This window comes from Homo sapiens, chromosome 18 (assembly GCF_000001405.40).
Source record: "Homo sapiens chromosome 18, GRCh38.p14 Primary Assembly".
In the NCBI taxonomy this organism is placed as follows: domain Eukaryota; kingdom Metazoa; phylum Chordata; class Mammalia; order Primates; family Hominidae; genus Homo; species Homo sapiens.
In genome coordinates, this window is record NC_000018.10 from 49,640,598 (window position 1) to 49,666,036 (window position 25,439).

Sequence of the window (25,439 nt, forward strand, 5' to 3'; positions counted from 1 at the left end):
GTAGGTGGCTCTCAGCAGCTCAGCTCACAAAGATCTCAGGCCTCACCCAGGGAAGCAGAGGGAAGCTCCCCAGTGCTCCCAGACCCCTTTCTATGCCACTAGCCCCTTTGTTCTCAAGACAGGCTGTAGCCCAAAGAGCTGCCCCTGGAAGCATGCTGGCGGGAAGCTGTGCATCATGGGAGCTGAGAAAGGGGAAAACAGCCTGGCCTGGGCTTGAAGGAGGGGTGAGAGGAGCCAGCAGGTGAATGGAGCTAAGGATCATGAAATATCCCCGAGGGCACCCCAGCACCAGGCTTGTCTTCCTCTTCCTCCAGGAGGGGCAAGTTATAGGGGGGTCCATTGAGAGACAGACAGTTCTCTTCCTCTCCTATCCTCTGCTTGGTCAGTGGGGCCGGCATTCCTGGGGAGGTGGGTGTGGCTGGGGCTCCTCCGGGTCTCCTCGTGCTGCGGCAGCAGAGTGTGATTTGAGGGCAGGGCCAGAGTGAAGCTGGTTTTGCCTGGACCTCCACTCAGTGGGAACTGAAGGCCCCCAGCTTCAGGGGGCTTCTTTGAATAGGAAAGGGGAATGCCAAGGGGCAGAAGAAGAGGAAAGAAAAGAGGGCAGTTTGATCTGGTGATGTGATTTGTATCTTGGGGACAGCTGTACAGAAATACACAGGAAATGGGACCCTGCCTCGAACCTTTCTGTGTTCAGAAAGGTCAGTAGTGACCTACATGTAGGCAGGTGACCAGGTAGCTGCCCACACCAGCAGCTATGTTTGAAGTGAGAGGAAAGCTAGTTATTAGTTGGAGTAAATAAATGTTAAATTTTTTGATTGGAGGGAAAAATGGAGGAGTGTGTGTGTTTTGGGGTGGTCTTGGGGAAGAACCTCAGTGGGCTCAGCCAGTGTCAAAGAGGACAAGTGTCACTACATATGTTGTGGGGCGGGAGTATTAAGCTCATAGAATGTGGCAGGAGAGGGCACCTTCCTATGCCCAGGTCTAGCAGCCAGTTTAACAGAGAAGGCAAATGAAGGACCAGCCAGCCCAGGGGTGCCTGGCGTTCTGTAGATGGAGAGAGGAAGCAGAAGTCTCTATCCAGAAGCCTGTATTCTACAATGATCTCTATAATGCTTCATGGTTCTTGAAACACATTCTCCTTCATTTTATTATGTCATCTGCTGTAGACTGTAGCTTCTTCTACAGTAAGAGCAGGGGCTGCTCTTACGCACATGGGAGGTGCTTACATGCCCAGCATTAAGCATTGGCCCAGAACTGCATAAATGATCAGCTCCTGGTTTGATGAACTTTGGTGTGTGAAGCCAGGGAACCTGGAGTTTTGAAATGAGTCTTTAAAGCCTTAGAATCAGAACATATTATTTTAAAAGGGAATTATTTATTTTTTAATTGACAAAAATCGTATATATTTGTGGTGCATAACATGATGTTTTGCAATATGCATACATTGGCCAGGCGCGGTGGCTCACGCCTGTAATCCTAGGACTTTGGGAGGCCGAGGCGGGCGGATCACTTGAGGTCAGGAGTTCGAGACCAGCCTGGCTAACATGGTGAAACCTCGTCTCCACTAAACATACAGAAATTAGCTGGGCATAGTGGCATGCACCTGTAATCTCAGCTACTCGGAAGGCTGAGGCAGGAGAATCACTTGAACCTGGGAGGCGGAGGTTGCAGTGAGCCAAGGTCGTGCCACTGCACTCCAGCCTGGGCAACAGAGAGAGACTCCATCTCAAAAAAAAAAAAAACATATACTGTGGAATGATTAAATCAAGCTAATTAGCATATATATTACTTCACATGTTTATTTGTGGTGAGAACACTTAAATTCTTCTCTCTCAGCAATCTTCAAGTATGTAATATATTGTTATTAACTGTAGTCACCATGTGGTACAATAGTGTACCACATGGTACACTTGAACTCCTGTGTAATGGAAATTTTATGCCCTTTGTCTAACAGTACCTTCCTCAAACCTCCTACCATAGTCTCTGGTAACCATCATTCTACTTCCTGCTTCTATGAGTTTAACTTTTTTAGATTCCACATATAAGAGAGGTCATGCGGTATTTGTCTCTCTGTGCCTGGCTTATTTTACTTAATGTAATATCCTCCAGGATCATCCATGTTGTCACATATGACAGGATTTCCTTCTTTCTTAAAGCTGGATGGTACTCCATTGTGTATATATAACAACATCTTTTTTTTATAAATTCATTCATCCATTGATGTACACTTAGGTTGATTCCATATCTTGACCATTGTGAATGGTGCTGCAATAAACATGGGCATGCAGATCTCTCTGACGTATCAATCAGCTCCTGGTTTGGTGAACTCTAGTGTGCAAAGCCAGGGAACATGGAGTTTTGAAACGAGTCTTTAAAGCGTTAGAACCAGACCATATCCTTTTTTTAAGAAAATTATTTTTTAAATTGGCAAATAAAAATGGTCAAATAAATTGACACTAAAATGTCCTTTGCCTATATGCCTAGTCGTGGGATTGCTGGATCATATGGTAGTCCTATCTTTAACTTTTTGAAGTACCTGTTTTCCATAATGGACGTACTCATTTCCATTCCCACCAACAGTGTGCACATGTTCCCTTTTCCCCGCATCCTCTCCAACATGTCCTATCTTCATCTTTTTGATCATAGCCATCCTAACCGGTGTGAGGTGATAGCTAATTGTGATTTTAACTTGCATTTCCCTGATGATTAGTGGACCACATTGTTAATTATAAATTTTATTTGCACTGAGCTTTGAATGAAAGCACCTTCCTCTCTATCATGTTTTCTCAATTGTCCTCTTATCATCTCATTCCATTCATTTTCCCAAAGCTGTCTTAGCTGCTCTATATTTTTTTGAAGATTTTAAATTTAATTTTTATTATAGTAAAATATGCATAATGTAAAACTTACCAAATGAACAATGTTTTTTTTTTTTTTTTGAGACGGAGTCTCGCTCTGTTGCCCAGGCTGGAGTGCAGTGGCTCGATCTCGGCTCACTGCAAGCCCCGCCTCCTGGGTTCATGCCATTCTCCTGCCTCAGCGTCCCGAGTAGCTGGGACTACAGGCGCATGCCACCAAGCCCAGCTAACTTTTTGTATTTTTTTTTTTTTAGTAGAGATGGGGTTTCACTGTGTTTGCCAGGATGGTCTTGATCTCCCGACCTCGTGATCCACCTCGGCCTCCCAAAGTGCTGGGATTACAGGCGTGACCACGCCCAGCCCCATATGAACAATTTAAGTGTACAGTTAGGAAGCATTAAGTGCAATCACATTGCTGTGCAACCATCACCACCATCCATCTGCAGAACTTTTTCATCTTCCCAAACTGAAACTCTGCCTCCATGAAACAACAGCTCCCCATTTTCCCTCCCCCAGCTCTGGCAATGACCATTCTGCTTTCTCTCCTTATGAATTTGATTATTCTAGGTATCTCATATAAGTGGAGTCATATAGTATTTGTCCTTTGGAGTCTTGCCTGTCTTATGGTTGGTTTTAATTTCATTGAGACAGTCTTGGTCTCATCCAACAAATTAGTCTATTAAGCACCTCCTGAAATAACCACAGCTAATGTTCACTGGGCACCTACCTTGTGCTGGCCTGGGCGCCATGTAAGCACTGCACAGGTATTATCCTCTACTCCTTATGGGCACTTTGGGCAGCGAGTGTTTGAGGAATGTGAGGCACAACTAGGATAACAGGGCTGCAGGGGGAACCCAGGCCGTCTGACTCCCGAGTCCAGCATTTCCCACTCTCTGGCCAAGTCCTGGGTTCTGGGATGTCTGCTTCATGGCCCCCTCACCAAGCCATGGGGCCCCCAGTTAATCACATCCCTGAGTGACCTCATTTTCTTCTGCACAACTGCTCTGCCTTTCGCATATCCAGGGAGACAGAACACCCAGTCTCTTCCGCCACTTGCCCAAATCAGGAAAAAGAGAGATCCCTGACCCCTGCTTCAACTAGCATCTAGTTCCTAGGATGTTATCTCAACTACCTGCAAATTGGTCCCACTAAGACTCATTTCTTTCCTTTGGTCTGAATTATTATGGTGGCATCCGAACTGACTTTGTTGCCCTGGGCTGACCCCCTTCCAGTCTACCCTGATGAAGAAGCTGGGAGCAGCCAGGCCTGGAGTCTCAGAGGGGGCCCTGCATGCATGGGCTTCAGGCCAATGTGGTCTCTCATCTGGGAAGTGGCAGGGCCTTGGCTGCAATAGAAGAGTCTTCAGCCAGGCGCAGTGGCTCATGCCTGTAATCCCAGCACCTGGGAGGCCGAGGTGGGCAGATCATGAGGTCAAGAGATGGAGACCATCTGGCCAACATGGTGAAACCCCATCTCTACTAAAAATACAAAAATTAGCTGGGCATGGTGGCGCGCGCCTGTAGTCCCAGCTACTTGGGAGGCTGAGGCAGGAGAACTGCTTGAACCCAGGAGGTGGAGGTTGCAGTGAGCCGAGATTGCACCACTGCATTCCAGCCTGGCAACAGAGTGAGACTCCATCTCAAAAAAAAAAAAAAAAAAAAAAAAAGAAGAGTCTTCACCCAGCAGTCCAAAAAGCAACTCTGATCACTTTCTTTCTTTCCTACTATGGTCCTGTGGCTCCTCAGAACAAAAGAGCCCAATCCTTAGTGCTGCCTGCCTTTCCAACATCATGTGGTGCTCCCCACCTCATGCCTGCCTGCTAGTAAACCTCAGCTCTCTGCAGTTCCGAAAGGCCACTCTTACTTCTTACAGGTCGGTCACCCCTGCTGGTCTGTAAGCCCCATTGAGCAGACCTATGGCTTACCTTGGTAGCCCTGGCCTATAACTCACCTGAGCTCTGCCAGTGTTTGTTGAGTGAACGAGTATGGAAAAAGCCCTTTGGATGAGGACCTGAGCAAGGAAGAAAAATTTGCCTCCATGATGCTAGCATGAAGCATCTTTACCCAATGTGACACCATTTCTCATCTGAAATACATTGTATCTGGCCTGAAATGCTAATGATGTCAAAATTAAACATACCTATGAGAATAGAAATTTTTTTCTATATATTTATGGAAGACAATGCCTAAAAAATTTTAAACCTTTATTCTATGAGATAAAGGATGGAGTTGACTTTAAGGTAGAATAGGATCCTCATTTATTAATTTACTAATTATTTTCCTTGCGATAGACTTGCCTAACAAATTAGGTCTGTAGCAAACTTTTCCCCCACCACCTTTCCCCCACCATGTGATGCCTATCTTCTATCTTCTTGTTCCATGCCACGGGAAGTAGGTCACAAGGAGGGGAATTAGGTCAGAAACAGCGGGCGTGAGGAGGCGGAGGATGGAGAAGGGCATGCTTTCCACAGGAATCTTCGAGATCCAGGCCACTCCTCTCTCTCCACTGAGGGGGCGTGAGACAGATTCTGAGCCAGGCTATGGCAGAATCCAATCTGAGCAATGTCCCTTTGTCCCTGGGGAGAGCTGCAATAGGAAGAGCGGGGGAGGATCCCGAAGGTTTGGGTGTTCTCCATGTGTGTCCCAGGGCACTTTCATTTTGGATGAAGCATCAGCCTGCGTGGGGCTGGGGAGGAGCGGCAGCCAGGACTCGCTTCCTTAGGGAGGAATATGCTTGCTCTAGGATGACAGGCCTCCTTGGCAATGGCAGGCAGAGTCAGTTCCATGGGACTTTTGAAGAACATAAACAATCCCCTTTTTATGTAAACACTCAAGCAAACCAAAGCTGGCTGTTAATTGTCTCCCTGGCCTGGACCCAAGGCAGAAATTTGGAGTTGCCCCCTTCTTGGATTAATCTGGAATGACTCCCCTTATATCCCCTCTTACCCTAACCCCCCATACTCTGGGATCTAGAGACGAGACACTACTGACACTTGGAGTTGCATAGTTCTTTGTTGTGGGGAGTTGTTCTGTGTGTTGCAGGATATTTGGCAGCATCCATGGCCTCTACCCACCAGATGCCAATAGCAACACCCTGCTGGAGGCCGCACACATGTTTCTTATGATTAGGCATAATTGAAGCCTGTCAGGAACAATATGAACCTGTGATCAGTTAAGCAGCTGATCAATCATTACCTCCTCCTCCTTGCTCTTGTTACCCAATAAATACAAAGGGCCGTAGAAGCTCAGGAACTGCCTTTGCTCACTAGAAGCAGGGAGCTCTCTTCTTCCCCATGTTGCCTTTCCTTAAAATAGTTATTTTGTTTTTTTGTTATCATTTCTATGTTTGTCCCTTCATTCAGTCTTGTAATGAAGGTTGCAAGCAGTAACAGTAGTGACTGCTGTAATGACGGTCTCAAGTAGTAGTAGTGGCAGTCAGCCACAGCACCCTGCAAACTGAATTGTGACAACCAAAAATGTTTTTAGACATTGCCAAATGTCCCCTGGGGAGTAAAATTGTCTCCAGTTGAGAACAACTGCTCTACCATATACATGCTAAAAGCCTTTAATACCACGTGTCAAAGTTTCAAAGTTTAAACCAGTCACCTGATTTTGACTGAGGATCAAATTCTGAACAAGGAAATGGCAATGGGCTCTACAGACGGTGCAGGTGCATTGAGTGGCGCATGAGGCCAGTTCTGCTGGAAGCTGGTTCTGTGACCTTGGGCCATTATCCTTCTTGAACCTTACACTTGCTAACTAAAACTACAGCAAAATAGCAGCCTTCTCTGTGGTGTGTAGGTGTCCTCTGATGATAAGGGTGATAAAACATCAGTCAGAGCTGGGAGTTCTTTGGAGGAAATTTGTGCTGTGGTGAGGCCAGTTTATGTTTTTACTATTCTTTTACTCGAAGCTTCATTAAATCAAGTTGTTGGCCTAGCAACTTATGGAGACTTCACAGTCAAGATCTCCTCAGCAAAACCTGATTTCAAATATTCTGTCCTATTGTCCCCATATACCTTTGAAATATCCCGGGTATCCTGAAATGGCATTTTTCAGCTTGTCTCTCACCTCCAGGGGTCATGCAAACAGCCTTTAGTGGCACCTGCATATTGCTTTTGGCATATTTACTGGTGAGGCACAGTCATCAGTGGGTCTGGCTATAACCCTGCTGGCGCCCTGGGGGCCGGGGCCATGTGCAGGAATCTGACATGGGCAAGAGGCACATCCAAAGACCCAGAGCAGCCCATGCTCATTGTAGACATTCCTCACAATGTAGACATTTTTGCTTAAATGAGCCATGAGTAAAGGGAAAAAGCACTTTACTGTGGGTAATTTCTTCATAAATTACCCAGCTTCAGGTGTTCATTTATAGCAACACAAATGGACTAAGATAGTTTTTGATCACGTTCATGATCGGTGAACAGCTTTCAGACAGTTTTTTGTGGGCATGAGGAAAGCAACAGAGGCAGATGGTGTCCTCCATGACTCACAATCTGAGTATGTGAATGATTAATGATTTGGGGCCAGGCTCCAGGGGTCCAAATCCCTATGAACTGCGTGATCTTTCTAAAGTTACCTAAACACTCTGTTTCCTTCCTCATTTGTAAAGTGAACATAAACGCAGTATGTGGTCATAACACAGGCGATGTTCTTAGATCAATGCCTCGTCCATAATAAATTCTCAATCCATGTTAGCTATTAATTGTGTTACAATTCAATCTGTTCAACACTATAGTAAAGCTGTAAGCAAAATGCTAGGAAGTCTCTAAGTGATGAATGTTTCCCAAAGCAATCCAGGAAGACTTGGCCATTGCAAGCCTATGGCCCTGACAAGGGAAAAGACTCAGGAACCGGGAGCGTAGCAGTAAATCCAGTTACCCAGCAGTGCATATGCTTCACCCAAGTCAAGCTGTCTTGCAGAAGTGGGGCAGCCTGACTTTCCACTGTGTTCTCCCCAGTGAATATGGCCTAGGCCCAGTGTCTGCTGAGGTCACTCCACACTCATGGAGCTGGGAACAGCTGCTTTCAGGGAAAGGTCAGCTGTTGCTGAAATGATGGACTGTCCTAGCATTTAAATTGTTTACGCAGGGCCAGGCAACGTGGCTCACGCCTGTAATCCCAGCACTTTGTGAGGCCAAGGTGGGAAGATCACTTGAGGCCAAGACTTCAAGACCAGCCTGGCCAACATGGTGAAACCTCATCTCTACAAAAAATATAAAAATTCGCCAGGCATGGTGACACACGCCTGTAATCCCAGCTATTCAGAAGGCCGAGGCACAAGAATTGCTTGAACCCTGGAGGCAGAGATTGCAGTGAGCCAAGATTGTGCCATTGTATCCCAGCCTGGCCAAAAGAGTGAGATTCTGTTTCTAAATAAATAAATAAAATAGTTTGTGAGGAGCAAATGGCCAGTGATTCAGAGAAATACCTACTACTGGTGCCGAAAAGACCTGTACAATTCCGGTACTAGCTTTGTGAGTACAGCTATTAAAGCATAACTAACTTTTACACCCAGGTACAGCTTAAAAAAAAAAGAGAACTGGCAGAGCTGCCCCTAGTGGCAATGCTCAGGGGTGGTGGAGGTGCCCAATGGACATGTCTGTCCCAGAAAAGAAGCACTGACACCCTGGGAATGGTTATTAATGAATCCTAAATTTCCTTTGGCTTTTGGCTTTCTTTTGCATCCTCTGGCAGTCGCATTGAATATAAATATCAAGTGCCAAGACAAGTCAATAGGGAAATTGTCTTGTCTTTTCAACAAAGGGTGCCAGGACAACTGGATGTCACTGTGAAAGAATGAAGATGGATCCTACTTCACACCATCTATAAAAACTAACTCAAAAGGAATCAAAAGACATTTTGGAAGAGCTAAAAACTACAAGACTATTGGAAGAAAATGTAGGGGTAAATCTTGAGACCTTGGAGTAAGCAATGGTTTCTTAGATGTGACACCAAAAGCACAAGTGATGAAAGAAAAAGTAAGTTGGGCATCATCTAAATTAAAAACTTTCATGTTTCAAAGGACACTATTATAAGAAAGTGAAAAGACAAAACACTGAATGGGAGAAAATATTTGCACAGAGAAACCTGTACACAAATATGCACAGCAGCGTTATTCATCATGGCCCACTACAGGGCCAGGCACAGTGGCTCACTTTGGGAGGCCGAGGCAGGCGAATCACGAGGCCAGGAGCTTGAGACCAGCCTGGCCAACATGGTGAAACCCCATCTCTACTAAAAATACAAAAAAAAAAAATTAGCAGGGCATGGTGGCGTGTGCCTATAATCCCAGCTACTTGGGAGGCTGAGGCAGGAGAATTGCTTGAATCCAGGGGGTGGAGGTTGCAGTGAGCCGGGATCGCACCACTGCACTCCAGCCCGGGCAACAGAGCGAGACTCCATCTCGATAAAAAAAAAAAACCCAAAGTAGAAAAAAACCAATTGTCCATCAGTGATGAATGGATGAACAAAAGGTGTGCTATCCATACAGTGGGATGCTGTTCAGCCATCAGAAAGGAAAGAAGTACTGCTACATGCTCCAACATGGATGAGCCTGGAAAATGTTACACTGAGCCCAGTAAGCCAGACACAAAGGCCACATTTTGCGTGACTACATTTATACAAGATGTGCAGAATAGACAGTCAAATCCACAGAGACAGAAGGTGGATCAGTGGCTGCCAGGACTAGGGGAAGAGGGAAGGGGAAGGACTGCTAATGGTATGGGGTTTCTTTGGGGGCTGATGAAAATTTTCTGCAACTAGATAAAGGCAATAGTTGTACAGTCACAGGAATACACTAAAAATTGCTGAATTGTGCACTAATGGTATGGGGAATGTATTGCCCCCTCCAAAAAAAGTAGGAGGTGCTGGACCAGGTGACAAAAGTGTGGCCATGCCCCAGACTTTTTCACTAGGGACCCTGCATGAGCCAGCAGGTGCCCAGAGAGAGCCCCCGCCCTGCCCTCAAGGCTTGGCTGAGGGCTTCCTGGAGGAGGAGTTTGGCTCAATGCTGAGCTGAACCAACTGCAGTTTTTGGAGTCTGCACGCATCATTCACAATCCCGTGGAGTATTGTATAAGAGCCACATCGTAACTTTGTGACTCGCTGCTGCCAGGGCCCCAAGGAAGTGCTCTTCCTGGGCACGAACCCAGGACCTTTTAGCATGGCCCAGACATGAGTGCCCTTTGAGGAAGTGAACATGGTCTGGGACTGGCTGGGCATTGGAGGGCCTGTGCTAACCCCTCCCCAAGAGCACTGTCTTAGCTGGGACTGGGGTGCTGGGACTGGCGTGCTCAGTGAGAGGTGAGTGGTGCCCGATTCTGGGGCTTTTCCAGAACCTCTGTGGAAAGCCTGAGGTCTTCTCCTTTCACTGCTTTGTCCACAATCTGTGTTCTCTGCTATTCCTGGCTCCCAGAGAACACAACCTCACTCCTGCTGAGCTTCCTGCCAAGCAGCAAGAACAGCTTCTTGGGATCTTAGTGTCCCCTCTGCCGGCAGGTGCGGCGGCTGGGGGTTCGGCTGGGGGTGGGAGTGGCCCGGCTGGGGCAGTAGTGGGCGCGAATGGCTTTGGCAGGCCTGATGCCAGAGGTCCAGGTGGAGGGGCTCCTGCATCTCTCTCCCCGTAACCCACAGGAAAACAGGGCTAATAGGCAGTGACCAAGTGAGTTGACCAAGTGAGTTGGGGCTGCTGCCGCGGCTATGGAAATGAGTGCCCCTGGGGCCTGGCATGGGACACATTCAAGGCCTCCAAGTCACTCTTGGGCAAGCAGATAACAACACACCCTGGACTGAAGCCAGAGGTCCTCCTGGGCTCCCTGCTTGCCGGGAAACATACCCTTCGATCTGTTGAACTGTCTTCCAACCTGCTGTGGCAGTTTTGCCCCACTCCTGTTTGCCGTGCTGAGTCCTGCTTTCCTCACCTTCCCTGAGCATTGCCCTTTCTGTGGGAGGGAATCAGCAGAAGGTGCACTGTTGCACTTCAGATGCTTCTACCTCGTCGTTTCCTCGGAAGTCTCTATTCAATGGGGAGCTCCCTAGACTGGCTGCTAAGGTCGCATTTGCTTTTTCAGAGGAAATACCTTGTCAGGAACCCTACCCATCCTTATAGAACAGCTGCCTTCAGCTAACCCCTTTCCTCATAGGGGCCAGGACAAAGCATGGGACAAGAAATTCAGAGTGACCTTCTCATGAGAGGCTGAGGCTGGCTCAAAGAATTCGGTGCGGCAGAGTGAAAGTCAGAAGACCTGGATTTTCATCCCAGCTTTGCGACTTGTGAGCTTTATGATGGTCAAATTGATGAAGACTAGGCTTCAGGCTGCTCCTCTGTAAACGGGGGCTGTCTCCCTCCTGGGGTTTGTGTGAAGGCAACGGAGACAACACTTGAAAGTGTCTTGGCCGGGCGCGGTGGCTCATGCCTGTAATCCCAGCACTTTGGGAGGCCGAGGCAGGTGAATCATGAGGTCAGGAGATGGAGACCATCGTGGCCAACATGGTGAAACCCCATCTCTACTAAAATACACACACAAAAAATTAGCCAGGTGTGGTGGCGTGTGCCTGTAGTCCCAGCTACTTGGGTGGCTGAGGCAGGGAAATTGCTTGAACCTGGGAGGCAGAGGTTGCAGTGAGCTGAGATCGCACCACTGCACTCCAGGCTGGCAACAGAGCGAGACTCTCAAAAAAAAAAAAAATTGTCTTGCATAGGCCTGGCTCATGGCTTTGCTTTCTTGCTTTCTTACCTCGGGGCTGGGGAGTCACCGCACTGTGCTATGAGGAAAGCCCCTCTCCATTCAGGAGACCCTGCTAGGGAGGAGTCTGGGCTCCCACCTGTGGCCAAAGTGAGGGGCGAATTCTTTCCCTGTCAGAGATGGACCAATGACTTTATGACAAACCCAGCCTGTGATTTTTCTAGTCTAAGCATTAAAAGCTCCTAAACCCAGCCAGATCTGGTGGCTCACGCCCATAATCCCAGCACTTTAGGAGGCTGAGGTGGGTGGGTCACTTGAGGTCAGGAGTTTGAGACCAGCCTGGACAACGTGGTGAAACCTCATCTCCACTAAAAATAGGAAAATTAGCTGGGTGTGGTGGCGGGTGCCTGTAATCCCAGCTGCTCAGGAGGTTGAGGCAGGAGAATCGCTTGAACCCGGGAAGCGGAGGTTGCAGTGAGCCGAGATCACACCACTGTACTCCAGCCTGGGCATCAGAGTGAGACTCCATCTCAAAAATAAATAAATAAATAAATAAAAATAAAAACCCTTAAACTCTTTTAAAAAATAGCTACAAAGCGCCTCCCCTGTCTCCGTGCCAACTGGGGTGAGGTGGGAGCTTAATGGATCCTGTAGATCATATACATTTGAATCTCAGGCCTAGATGAAGGCAGAGCCCTCATGAATGATCAGGGGAGATATGTTTTCTATCTAGAGCCCTGGACAAGCTAGATAAGCTATTTCATTATCTCTCATTGCAAGTGAGGAGATTGTTTTTTCTGTCACTTTTTTCCGTAGAGTGGAAGCCTTGGAAGGTCTTGGCTGTATGCAGGATTCACAGCTTTGACGCATGCGTGCCCTAGGCCCAGGCCTCAGCTCCTGTCCCTGTTGGTGGCCATTACATCCAAAGCTTCTTAGGTATCAAGATTGGCAGCTCTCCCCTTCCACCTCCCCTGCATCCAGTGCAGCTGCCCCCACGATCTCCTGCTTCTTTGGTTTCAGTTTGCTTTGCTTTCCTTTTGGCTGCAGGATTTCCCTTTCTTTAGCAAAGCTCAGTTAGTGCATTTGAAAGCCTGTTCATTACCTTTTCTCTACCACTTCTAGGTGTTTTTAGAGCAGAAAGCTTTCTATGTTTCCTAGTCTGCCACACTATCAGAAATGTAAGTCTCTGTGATACAATTTCTCTCTATTAAACTAGCAAAAATGTAGCAGGGGCATGTGCAAGGGTGAGGGAAGTGCTCACATTCTCCTGATGGGAATCTGAATTGCTACTCAATTCCTGACAGTATTTTGCAATAAAAAATATGAAAAAATGATGCATGTCTTTTGTCCCAGCAATTTCCATTTCTAGGAAGTTACTCTATTAAATAAACATGGATGTGTGCAAAGTTTCAGGTTCAGGATGTTTGTCATAGTTGTATCCAGCCTCGGCATTTCCAAAAAGTATACACTGTTTAAATATTCCAGTTGGGGAAACAAAAAGGAAAAAACAAGAAGGAAGGGGAAGCACTTAGGAAAAGAAAAACTTTCTGAGAAATCTTCAGCAAATGAATGCTTACGACTCTAGGGTCAGATACATCTCTTGGCCTTCCGTAGCTATGAGGGAAACTTGGAAAATCAGAATTTTTATTTGGGTACAACTGAGGTTTTGTTAGTAAGGACGAAGGGAGGAATGGATACCATAGTGTGTATGTATGTATGCAAGTATATGGGTGTGTTTATTAGGGTTGTCTAGAGGGACAAAACTAATAGGATAGATGACTATATGAAGGGGAGTGTATTAAGGAGTATTGACTCACACGATCACAAGGTGAGGTCCCACAATAGGCCATCTGCAAGGCAAGGAGCAAGGAAGCCTGTCTGAATCCTAAAGCTGAAAAACCTGGAGTCCGATTTTCAAGGACAGGAAGCATCCAGCATGGGAGGAAGATGGAGGCCAGAAGACTAAACCAGTCTAGCTTTTCCATGTTCCTCTGCCTGCTTTTCTTCTGGCCACGCTGGCAGCTGATTAGATGGTACCCACCTAGATTGAGGATGTGTCTGCGTCTCCCAGTCCCCTAACTCAAATGTTAATCTCCTTTGGCAACACTCTCACAGACACACCCAGGAACAAAACTTTGCATCCTTCAATCCAATCAAGTTGACACCCTTTATTAACCATCACAGTATGTATGTGTGTATACATGTAAATATGTATGTATGTATGTATCTATGCATCTATCTATTGATTGAGATGCTTCTAGAAGGGTAGATATCAAGTTCTTTTGATGTTTATTCCTAGTTGGAAGAATTTTAAAGGTAATTTTTACAATCTTGTTTTTGCATATTTGATATAATACAGCTGCATTATATTTATTTTTAAAATAAATATTTTAAAATTTCAAATATTTAAAAAATACATTAAGATAATAAAATATAATAAGATAATATAAAACAGCTGTATTATATTTATTTTTAAAAAGTCACTCAAGAGCCTGGGTGCGGTGGCTCACACCTATAATCTTAGCACTCTGGGAGGTCAAGGTGGGTGAATTGCTTGAGTCCAGGAGTTCGAGACCAGCCTGGGCAACATGGTGAAACCCTGTCTCTCCAAAAAATACAGAAAAATTAGCTGGGTGTGGTGGTGCACACTTGTGGTCCTAGCTACTTAGGAGACTGAGGTGGGAGGATTGCTTGAGCCCAGGAAGCAGAGGTTTCAGTGAACCAAGATTGCACCACTGCACTCTAGCCTGAGTGACAGGGTGAGACTCTGTCTCAAAGAAAAAAAATGTCAAGAAAGGTTATAGTTGTTAAGGATGGGGTGGCACATGATGGGGGTAGGACCACAGCCAGATGTGGTGCCAGAGAGCGATGAGAAGCAGAGAACCACAATATCTCAGGAGTGTGGGATGAGGATACAGCAACTGCCAGGGTGGGGCACTCTGAGTGTTCTCAATGGATTGTTATGTCCTTGGTTTTTAATTTGGGGAGGGGTCAAAATGTTGCCTGTTGTCTTGTATGTGCTGCCTACAACCCATTTGGAATATAGAGGGCAGAAGGGGGGACTCTGCAGCCCCTCCAGACATCCCTGCTACGAAGGTGGAATATCTTGATTGTGCGTGGATTTCGTTATCACCCAGGTAGCTGCTTGCCATTGTAACTGACTTCTCCTTTCAGCTCTTTAATTGGTTAAAATGTTCTAAGACCTCCTTCATGTTGCGTCCAGCCTCAGAAAACAGATCAGAGTTGTCCTCCCCAAGAGGAGTAGGCCACAGAGTTATTACCATGAGAGCAGCTGCTGGGTCTTGAGGATCCCGCCACAAAAGGACAAACACAATGTGTTGGGAATGTCGGAGAACCACAGTTTTCCCCCTTTACCAGGAATCATGCCGATGATGGTGGCTGCCATTTATTGAATGTTTACAGTGAGTATTTTCTCATTTAGTCCTTCAAAGCACTTCACAAGATAGATTCTCATTTTATAACTAAGAAAACAAAGGCTTGGACAGGTTAAGTAACTTGTCTAAGATCACACAGCCAGGACAGTGGGAAAGGGGTGACTGCGCGATGTCTGATTTTGAGTCTATGTTTGTGACTATTAGTTATTCTACTCAGGGTGACCGGCAATCCTGCTTTACTTTGGACTGTCCTGGTTCCAGCACTTGAAGTCCCATATTCTGAGACACTCCTCAGTTCCAGGCAAACCTGGACAGCTGGATTTACTTCCTTGGCAGTGACAGTCCTCTTTCCACTGAGCGCTCAGGGGTCCGTGTGTTCTTCACACCTGGATGGTCACCTGGGTGCGGTTGAGGCTGGGTATTTTCCATAGTGGCCCCCGGGCAACAGTAGGCACATAATTGGTACCAAAGGAAAAAAAATCCTAGTGGAGTTAATGAGTGAATAAATGACTAACGTCACCTACAGCAACTACTTTCAGATTATGTATTGTGAGTCAGGCACTGTTAGGTGCTGTGGGAAATAAATAAGTGAGTTTCAGCTAAATAACTGAGTAATGTGAGTAACTGAATTGCACTCTAGTGTAGAGACTTGCACTGTTGGCGGTGTCAACAAAGATTCATGAAGGGATATTGCACCGCAGGCTTGATGGCTTTAATAACCCACAGCAGTAACGCCACTCTGTTTCGGTAGATCCTGAAGTTGATAAGCCTAATCCCTCACACGGTCTAATTCTTCTGCCTCCCAGCAGATGTGTGAGATATTCAACGCCGCTTCACAGGCAGGGAGAGTGAGTCAGAAAGGAACACAAGCTCATGATCTAAAGCTGTGATTGCATAGTGGCGGCCCTCAGGCCACCTCCAGGCCACTGTTGTGTTTTGTGGTCTATATAATTTTTTTAAACAAAATTGAATTGGTGACTCACACCTGTAACCCCAGTACTTTGGGAGGCTGAGCCCAGGAGTTCAAGACTAGCCTGGGCAACATGGCAAGACTTGGTCTCTACAAATAATAAAAAAAAAGTAGCCGGGTGTGATGATGCCCACCTGTGGTCCTAGCTACTTGGGAGGCCGAGGTGGAAGAATCACTTGAGCTGGGGCAGTTGAGGCTGCAGTGAGCCATGATTATGCCACTGCACTATTGCATGACAGTATTTGAAGACTGGAAGATTTTGCATAAAAATCTGAATTTCTAGTCCCTCTCGATGAAATGGAAGATATGACAGCCCTGTGTTCTCAATCATGGCTGTCACTTGTGATGAGGCATTGACCCTTCAGTTTTCTCATTTCCAGGGCAGTCCTGGCCTGTGTTACCTGAGGCATCAAAACGAAGAGACCACAAGGTAAAGAAAGTATCTCCAGTGGAAGAAGACATGTGACTATAGCAGCCTCAGGGACCCCAATGGTTGTCCCATGTTCCAAAGGATCAAGAACACAGTTGTGAGGAAAAGCCACCTCTGCCAAGGCCAGAAGCAGACCCCTTTCTCCTTCAGGAATCTAGATGCTGTCCCTGACTTCTCCTTTTGCATCATCTTTGTTCTCCTCCTGTTTAGTCAAGTCATAAAACAAACTTTTGGTTTTTTCCAATTAACCATTTCCTTCAGTAAGCGGCAACGCCACTCTTACAGGTGTTCAGGCCAAACACTTTGGAGTCCTTCTTGACTCTCTTATACCCCACCTCACTGCCTGTTTCTGCCATCCTGGTGCAGACCACCATCAGCTCTTGCTTGGGACACCGTGGAAGCATCCTGATTGCTCCTCCTGCTTCCATCCTCACCCTGCTGCTGCCTATTCCCAGCGCTGCTGGGGAGGGATCCTGTCAAACCATAAATGGGATAGCCAGGCACAGCGGCTCACACCTGTAATCCCAGGGCTTTGGGACAGTGAGGAGGGAGGATCGCTTGAGCCCAGCAGTTCAAGACTGCAGTGCCCCATAATCGTGCCTGTGAATAGTTACTGTACTCTGGCCAGGACAGCATAGCAAGACCCTGTCTATACAATTAAAAAAAAAATTAGCTGGTGCACACCTGTAGGCTGAGGTGGGAGGATCACTTGAGCCCAGGAGCTCGAGGTTATAGTGAGCTGTGATTGCACCACTGCATTCCAGTCTGGGCAACAGAGCAAGACCCTGTCTCTAAATACACACACACACACACACACACACGCACACACGGCCTGATGCAGTGGCTCATGCCTGTAATCCCAGCATGAGCTCAGTATATATTTAAATACACACACACACATATATGGCCTGGTGCAGTGGCTCATGCCTGTAATCCCAGCATGAGCCCAGTATATATTTAAATACACACACACACACACACACATATATATAATTTATATTATATATATTATATATTTGTATATATATTTATATATATATATATATATAGAGAGAGAGAGAATGAGAGCAAGAGCGAGCGAGACTGGTGCGGTAAGTAGCTCATGCCTGTAATCCTGGCACTTTGGGAGACCAAGGTGGGAAGATCACTTGAGACCAGGAGTTCAAGAACAGCCTGGGCAACATAGTGGGACCTCATTTCTACAAAAAGTAAAATAAAAATTAGCTGAGTGTGGTGGCACACATCTGTAGTCTCAGCTGTTCTGGGGGATGAGGCAGGAGAATTGCTTGAAACTGGGAGGTTGAGGCTACAGTGAGCCTCAATTGCACCACCACACTTTAGCCTGGGCAACAGAGTGAGACTCTCTCAAATAAATAAGTGGTATCTATCTGTATTATATATAGATATATAATATATATCTGTCTATCTATCTGACCATGCTCCTCCGATCAGCTCAAACCCTCTGCAGTTTGAGTCACTCCCTTATCCTCACTGTGGCCCCTTCCATTCTGTACCCTCATTGGGCTCCAGTCACACTGGCCCCTAGCCCTGCTCCATGGATCTCTGAATACCACAAGCATACTACTGCCTAGGGTCTTTGTAACTGCTGGAGGTTTCTGTTATCTAAGGCTGCATAACAGATCATCCCAAAACTTAGTGGCTTTAAACAGTAAGAATCATCTATGATCTCTCATGGTTTCTGTGGGATGGGAATTCAGGATCAGCTAGGCAGGGTGGTCCTGGCTTATGGCCTTTCATGAGGTTGCAGACAGATGTTGGCAGTAGCCAAGTCATCTGAGGCTTGGCTAGTAGGGGGCTTTACTTCTGAGGGGACCCCCTCATGTGGCTGGCAAGTTAGTGCTGGCTGTTGGCCAGAGCCCCAGTTCCTAGGCACGTGGAGCTCTCCATGGGTTTGCATTAGGATGTCTTGAGGGCATGAAGGTTGGATTTCCTCAGAGCAAAAGTGTCCAGGAAGCCAGGTGAAAGCTGTAATGCCTTTTATGACTTAGCCTCCAAGGTCACACACCATCACTCCTGATCCATTTGGTCGGTCACACAAAGCCACCCTGATTCATAGTTGGAGGTGCCACACGAGGGTGCAAATAATGGGAGGTGGGGATTGCTGGGGGCATCCTGGAGGTTGCAATCATGCAGGTTTCTGCCTGTGATGTCCTTCCCTCAGCAACTGCAAGGCTGACCCGTGAATCCTTAAGATTCCTGCTCTAATGTTCCTTATCAGAGAGGCCTCACAGCCTACCCCTTTTAAATAACTTCCCTACCCTCCTGACATTCCTATCCTGCTTTTCTTTTCTTCACAACACTTATACCTGCAGTGCTATTTCCTTGTTTCTTGTCTGTCTCCCTCCAGTAGATGAATCCTCAGCATTTAGACCGGTGCCTGGTACAAAGGCTGCCAATGTTTTTCACACGAATGAATAGCTTATATGCATTAAATGTTATGAATGAATGAAATCTTACCTCTTTGAACAGGCTTCATCACATGCTATCAAGGGCACATACTAACGACACAATTTATCACTGTTGATGTTAACCTTGATCACCTGGCGGAGGTGGAATTTGTCAGGTTTCTCCACTGTAAAGTTACTGGGTTTTTCCACTTTTCCATTCTGTATTGTTTGGAAGGAAGTCACTATGTGTAGCTCACACTTAAGGAGTGGGAATTATGAGGACTGGGAAATCTACATAATTTATTTGGAATTCTTCTGCACAGGAAATTTATCTCTTCTCCCTCATTTATTAACTTGGCAATCATTTATTTATATTAGCATGGATTCCTGGATATTTATTTTATACTTTGCATTATAATCCAATCCTACTTTATTTTGTTGTTCAAATTGTTCCAGCTTTGGTCATTGGAAGCTCTTTCAGTTGGCTTCCATGCTCCTTGGCCGTATTCCCATCAGTGTGTGTGTGTGTGTGTGTGTGTGTGTGTGTGTGTGTGTGTGTGTGTATTTGTAGCACTTCCTTTATGGCACTACAAGATGCACCAGACTCATTTTGGTGCATATTTCCTTCATTTCCTGCCCCAGGAGGCAGGAATGCCCCTAATGTTTCTAAGGAGCCTTGGTTCCTTTTATTGAGAATGGTGTTAGAAACCAAGTTATGCAAATATGCTTCCAATTATTCTATGTCTCACCATTTCCTCAGGCACTGCCCTAGTCTAGGCCGTCACCTCTCTTTGTGGCAACCTTCCAACCATCCACAAAACATACTGCCCCTACGTTTCCTCTACTTCTTTCTCCCCATCCTTTCTTCTTTTAGGCAGAGGCATCATTCTTAGTGATAAATCGGCTCATGTCAGCCTTTCAGTGGACATCATTGTTCTCAGGATGAAGTTCTCCCGTGTATGGTGTAAAACATTCTTCTTGACCTGGGCCTGCCTACCCCTCCAGCCTTACCTGTCCCATAAACCCAGCCTGGAGGCTGAGCTCCAGCTGCACTGAACTACTTTCCTTTATTTCTGTGTCTTTACAAATGTCCATACAGAACTTTCCACTGCTGAGAAACAAGCTCTGAGCCTAATGACTGTTACCATGTTAAAATATCTTCTCGCCAGGCTTGGTAGCTCACGCCTGTAATCCCAGAACTTTGGGAGGTTGAGGGGGGCAGATCACGAGGTCAGGAGTTGGAGACCAGCCTGAACAATATGGTGAAACCCCACCTCTACTAAAAATACAAAAATTAGCCAGGTGTGGTGGTGTGCACCTGTAATTCCAGCTACTCAGGAGGCTGAGGCAGGAGAGTCGCTTGAACCCGGGAGGTGGAGGTTGCAGTGAGCCAAGATCATGCAACTGCACTCCAGCCTGGGTGACAAAACGAAATTCCATCTCAAAAAATAAAACGTCTTCTCTCCTTTCTTGTGTGGGGTTGAACAAGAGGCAATCATTTATTTAAAAGCCCCCCTGTGATATGAAAATAAAATATTGGTCTCCCCCACCACCCAGTTCCTGGCACACAGCTCCTAAATCCCTTGGAATTTCTTGGGTGATAGGATGTCTTTTGTTCTAATGAGGCCACTCCTGATAGCTAGAGAGTTCAAGAAGGGCAGTTGACAGAGGACCAAGGCATGATTAAAGGGTGGAACTTTCAGCCCCACCCCCCGACCTCCAGGGAGGGGAGAGAAGCTGGAGATAAACTTAATCACCAAAGACCAAATGATTTCGCCATCATGTCTGCAGAAAGAAACTTCCATAAACCCCCTAAAGGATGGGGTTCAGAGAGCTTTCAGGTTGGTGAATACATGGAGCTGCTGGGAGGGCCGTGTACCTGGAGAGGGCATGGAAGCCCCATGGCGCTTCCCCCATACCTTGCCCTGTGCATCTCTTCCATTTGGCTGTTGTTGAGTTGTTTCCTTTATAATAAATAGTAAATGTAATGAGGTGTTTTAATGAGTTCTGTGAACTGTTCTAGCAAGTTCTCAGACCTGAGGAGGGGGTCATGGGTACCCCTGATTTATAGCCAGTGGGTCCAAAGAACATGCGGCAACCTGAGACTTTCAAGAGTCCCCATGTGAAGTGGGGAGTTTATAGGACTGAGCCTTTACCATGGAAGGTCTATGCTAACTCTAGTAGTTAGTGGCAGAATTGAATTGAGTTCTAGGATACCCATTTGGTGTCAGAGAGTTGGAGAATTGGCTGAGATGGGAAAAAGCTCCCATATATTTGGTATTGGAAGTGTTGAGAGAAAAAACAATTCACTGCTGCCCTGCCACCCCATCCATCTAGCTTGCTGTGGGCCAAACTCCATGCTCTGCTCTAGAAATGCATGTCTGTCTGTGTGCCTGCATGTCCCTGTGCACGTGTGTGTGCTGGGAGTGGGCCCGGCTGGTCTTGCCTTTTACTGCCCTGTGGTTGCATTTGCCTGCCTCCCGCCATGCAGCAAGTGTCTCATGAAGGCAGCAGACACTGCCGGTACATCTGAATAGTCCCAACACCTGGGAATGTGCTTGCAGATACTCAAGTATTTGCAGCTTAAATTATCATCCAATTGAATAACTAAACTAAAAGATGAATAAATACGATAAGGGGTAAATGAATGGATGAATGAAGTGGTTGTATCTTTCTCCTTTGCCCTTAGGGTCAGAAGTGGTTTCCAAATGTTGAAATTTTGACCATTGAATTGAGCTGACTTGGATTCTCAATGTTGGTCGACAGTCTGGTGGCAACAGGAGTGGCCTCCCTGCACTGGTGAGCACTCACTCCCCTTTATGCAAGCATGACAGTAAGGAGGAAGGAAAGCGTGCGCAGGCACGTGGGAGGCTGCCGTAAGCTCCCAAGGGGAGGGCTTCTAGCAAAAGTGAGGTTTTCTTTGCCCTTGATGTTCTGAGAGCACCTGAAGAAGCCACACAGCCAGTCAAGCCCAGGTGCTTGTTTCTGGTCCAGTTCAAATACGTAAGGCCTGGAGGTGCTCTGGGGAGGTGTGACTGCAAACGCTGTTGGGATTTGAATAGGCAGAAAAGAAGGTGAGAGAGGCTGGGGAGGGGATGTGGGACAACCTGTGTAGGGGCCAGGAAGGGCATGGCCTGAGGAGGGGAGAGGGCAGGAGATGGGGAACGTGACACATTGTGAAGGGTCTTGCATGCCAAGGTAAAGAGCTGAAATTGTTCCTGTAGGCCGTAGAGAACTCTTTTAAAATGGATAATCAACAAATAACTACACCTTTACTTTTTTCTACAAGGTAATACATGCTAATTATAGAAATGTTGGAAAATATAGAAAAGAATAAATCCAAAAGGAATCATGAGTCAGCGTATCACCTAGAGAATGCAATGCCTTTGATGTATTTCCCTCCAGTAACTTTTGGTCACAGTCGTCGTAGTCATATGTTACACGTGCCTTATAACTTGTTTTAAAAATATCATTAATATGTTATGAGCATTTGTTCATGAAGCCATCTTTTGAAACCTGATTTTTAATGGACGCACAGTAATTCATCTTTATAGCCAGCCCTTCATGTCTGTGGGTTCTGCATCTGAGAATTAAACTAAACTTGGATCAAAAGTATTTGAAAAAGTAAAAATAACAATACAACAATAAAAATAATATAAATTTAAAAATATAGTATAGCAATTATTTTCATAGCATTTACATTGTATTAGATATTATAAGCAATCTAGAGATGGTTTAGAGTCTAGGGGAGGATGTTTGTAGGTTATATGCAAATACTATGCCATTTTATATTAGGGACTTGAGCATCCCAGATTTTGGTATCCTCAGGGATCCTGGAACAAATCTCTCTGTGAATACTGAGGGAAGACTGTAATGTACTTAATCAATTCTTTATTAATGGTTATCTGATTATTTTAAATTTTTCAGGGTATGTGAAGGCTCGATGGCATTCTTGTATATACATAGTTACATGTACCTCGGATTATTTCTTAATAAATTTATAGAAGCAGAATTACTAGGTCAAAGGTTCTGCAGATTTCAAAGGCCTTTAGTGCCCTAGGTCCTAGGGAATGACTGGAAGTTTCTGAGAAAGGTGATGTGGGAAGTGTCTTCTTTTCTTCTCGTTTTTGCTGATTACTTTTAACTTTTTTATGGAGGACAACCCCTGAGGCTTCTGCCTGGTCTGCCCTCCTCCCCTGAGAATGATCAGTGTCCATCCATAATCCCTGAGGAAGAGGGCCTCTCCCTTCATATTCCTACCACTTGTCTTCCTCTTTAGCCTTCTCTATCCCTGGCCACCACCTCTAGGGCCTGGGTGTGGGTCTGCACTTGGTGCTGGGGCTCAGGTCACAGAGCACTGAGGCTGGGGTGGCGACTGCCATCCTACTGAACAGAGGTCCCCAGCCCTGTGACCAGAACACCTCTCCTCCCATCCTGGGGTGTCCAATGTCTTCCCACAATTCCTGCTCATCCCTGGAGTTTATGTGTCCTTCAGGCATCTCTGGTTCCAATTTCCTGCTTCTCCAGAGCTCTCCAAATCTTCCTTCCCTCTGTCCCTTCCGTGTGATCCCTCAGCACCCACCCTACCTCCTCAGACAAGCTGCGTGTCTTGTCCCGGACAGTTTAACTGGTGAGTCAGGGATTTATATGAGGAGAGTTGTATTGCAGTATCATGCAGTGGATAAATTAAAATGAAATATTTCTGCCTTTAAAGTGCCCCCGCCCCACTGCTTCCTCCCATTTCCTACTTCCAGCCACTCACAGTGCTGCTCAGCTCAGCTCAGCTCCGCCCCTTGCCCCGGATGCAGTGTGGGCTCCCTGCTGCCCCTTTCTCATTCCACCTGCTCTACTTCTACTCCAACCAGCATTTTACACAGCCCTGGAGACAGCCTGGGGACTCCATCCAAGGGGCCCAGGCCTCAGTCAGGGGAGAAGGGAGCAGAAGCATTCAGGCCTGGCAGAAGCAGCCAGCTCCCCACAACACCTGCCCCTGTCCTGGAAGTTCTTCCACCGAAACTGCCTCCCTGCCCAGAACCTCAGGGCTCCCGGGAGCCGGCACAGAGGGCCCCTCAGCTGCAGCACTTTAAGGGCTGGCTCAGTGTGGCAGAAGGGAACTGCCTATCCTTTCTACCTGGCAGGGCAACCGAGGGGTCAAACAACATAATGGGTAAGGAAGTGCCTCATAAAACGCCATGCAAACATAAGGCATTGTTATACAATTGTTTTCATTGGGAAATGTAATTTAGTTCCAAACAACCACTTTCAGAGGAACTCTTGGAACATAATTATAGTGGACATCTGTTGTTTTTGGCCTGTCCAATGGCCCTTTCCCTTTCTTCTGGCAATAATACCGCCCACCCCCCTTCCTCTGGGGAAGTGCAACTCTTTAACTCCAGACTTGTGACCTTGCTGGGGCTGCCATGACGTGACTCCACTGCAGGGTCCCAGGGATGGACGTGTGACCCGGGCTTGGCCAATCACAGTAGCCCCACCCCCCACCTACACGATGATTGGTCCCTGCAACCCATGACCAGGGTTTGGTCAGCTGTCATTCTACCTTGAGATTTTGACATAGGGAGGCAATGAGAACGACCCTTTCCTTCTGGTGGAGGTTGCTGAGCAGGGGTGATATGAGCGTCTCAGTCTGTTCAGGCTGCTATAACAAAATGCCTGAGACTGGGAGGCTTAAAAACAACAGACGTTATTTCTCCCAGTTCTGCAGACTGGGAAGTTCAAGATCAAGGTGGCAGCAGATTTGGTATCTGGTGACCACCTGCTTTCTGGCTCACAGCTTGCTACAGTTTGGATGTCCCCTCCAAAACTCATGTTGAAACTTAATCCCTAATGTGGTAGTATTGAGAGGCAGGGCTTTTAAGAGGTAAGTGAAGGGCTCTGCTCTCATGAATGGGTTAAACCATTTATGCATGAATGGATTAATCCATTTGTGGATGAATGGATTAATGGGTTAGCATAGGAGGGGAACTGGTGGCTTTATGAGAATAGGAAGAGAGACCTGAGGAAGTGGGTTTGCACGCTTGGTCCCCTTGCCATGTGATAGCCCATACTGCCTTGAGATTCTTCAGAGTTCCCACCAGCAAGAAGATGCTCACCAGATGTGCCCCCTCCTCCTTGGACTTCTCAGACTCCATAACTGTAAGAAATACATTCTTTTTCTTTATAAATTGCCCAGTTCAGAAAACAGACTAAGACATAGGTGGTGACTTTTTGCTATGTCCTCACATGGTGGAAGGGGCAAGAGGGTCTCTCCTGGGCCTCATTTATGAGGACACTAATGCCATTCATGAAGGCTCCACTGCCAGGTCCTAATTACCTCCCTAAGTCCCCACTTCCTGATACCCTTACCTTGGGGATTAGGATTTTTACATAGGAATTTTGGGGGGACATAACATTCAGTCCATTGCATGGTCTTCAACAGTCTTGTCTTGTCTTGCCCTTGACCTGCCTTCCACTGCCATTTAGAGGAATCCTCTGCAGCAGGAAGAATAATGCAAACCTGGGGGCTGGCACTGGGAAGCAGAATCCAGAGGAGAGTGAGTCTCTCTCGGTCTATCTTGGGAGCCCCCCGTCCTAGCTGTCCCTGAGACAGGCACTGTCCTTGTGCTTCCCTGACTCCTTTCCTTCAGCCGCAGTGGACTTTTTGTCCCTTATATATGACAGAATCCTGACCTGTA

At 46.5% G+C, this 25,439-nt stretch overlaps 2 long non-coding RNA genes and 1 pseudogene across 3 annotated transcripts in view, besides 3 other annotated features; all 3 read left to right on the top strand.

Annotated features, from left to right (window-relative positions):
• LOC105372112 (uncharacterized) overlaps positions 1–25,439 on the top strand; it is a 127,792-nt gene that overhangs the window by 27,906 nt on the left and 74,447 nt on the right. The window contains exons 1-2 of one of the 2 annotated variants that reach the window (XR_007066364.1): positions 20,166–20,588; positions 21,437–21,546. This is a non-coding gene — a long non-coding RNA (uncharacterized LOC105372112). Of the gene's footprint in view, positions 1–20,165; positions 20,589–21,436; positions 21,547–25,439 lie in introns of those variants that run through there. The other variant, XR_007066363.1, reaches the window with a different exon arrangement.
• On the top strand, positions 9,753–10,565 carry SMUG1P1 (single-strand-selective monofunctional uracil-DNA glycosylase 1 pseudogene 1; annotated as a pseudogene).
• LOC112268210 (uncharacterized) lies at positions 9,917–12,878 on the top strand. Its single transcript, XR_002958207.2, has 2 exons — positions 9,917–10,162; positions 11,002–12,878. It is a non-coding gene; the product is annotated as an uncharacterized LOC112268210 (long non-coding RNA).
• Positions 18,340–18,949: an enhancer, noted in NCBI's record as "NANOG-H3K27ac hESC enhancer chr18:47185307-47185916 (GRCh37/hg19 assembly coordinates)". NCBI's record gives its function as "activates a minimal SCP1, AML or CMV promoter by ChIP-STARR-seq in naive H9 embryonic stem cells {active_cell/tissue: H9 hESC(naive)}" and the evidence as "EXISTENCE:reporter gene assay evidence [ECO:0000049][PMID:30033119]".
• Positions 22,694–23,541: an enhancer, noted in NCBI's record as "H3K27ac-H3K4me1 hESC enhancer chr18:47189661-47190508 (GRCh37/hg19 assembly coordinates)". NCBI's record gives its function as "activates a minimal SCP1, AML or CMV promoter by ChIP-STARR-seq in primed H9 embryonic stem cells {active_cell/tissue: H9 hESC(primed)}" and the evidence as "EXISTENCE:reporter gene assay evidence [ECO:0000049][PMID:30033119]".
• Positions 23,542–24,387: an enhancer, noted in NCBI's record as "H3K27ac-H3K4me1 hESC enhancer chr18:47190509-47191354 (GRCh37/hg19 assembly coordinates)". NCBI's record gives its function as "activates a minimal SCP1, AML or CMV promoter by ChIP-STARR-seq in primed H9 embryonic stem cells {active_cell/tissue: H9 hESC(primed)}" and the evidence as "EXISTENCE:reporter gene assay evidence [ECO:0000049][PMID:30033119]".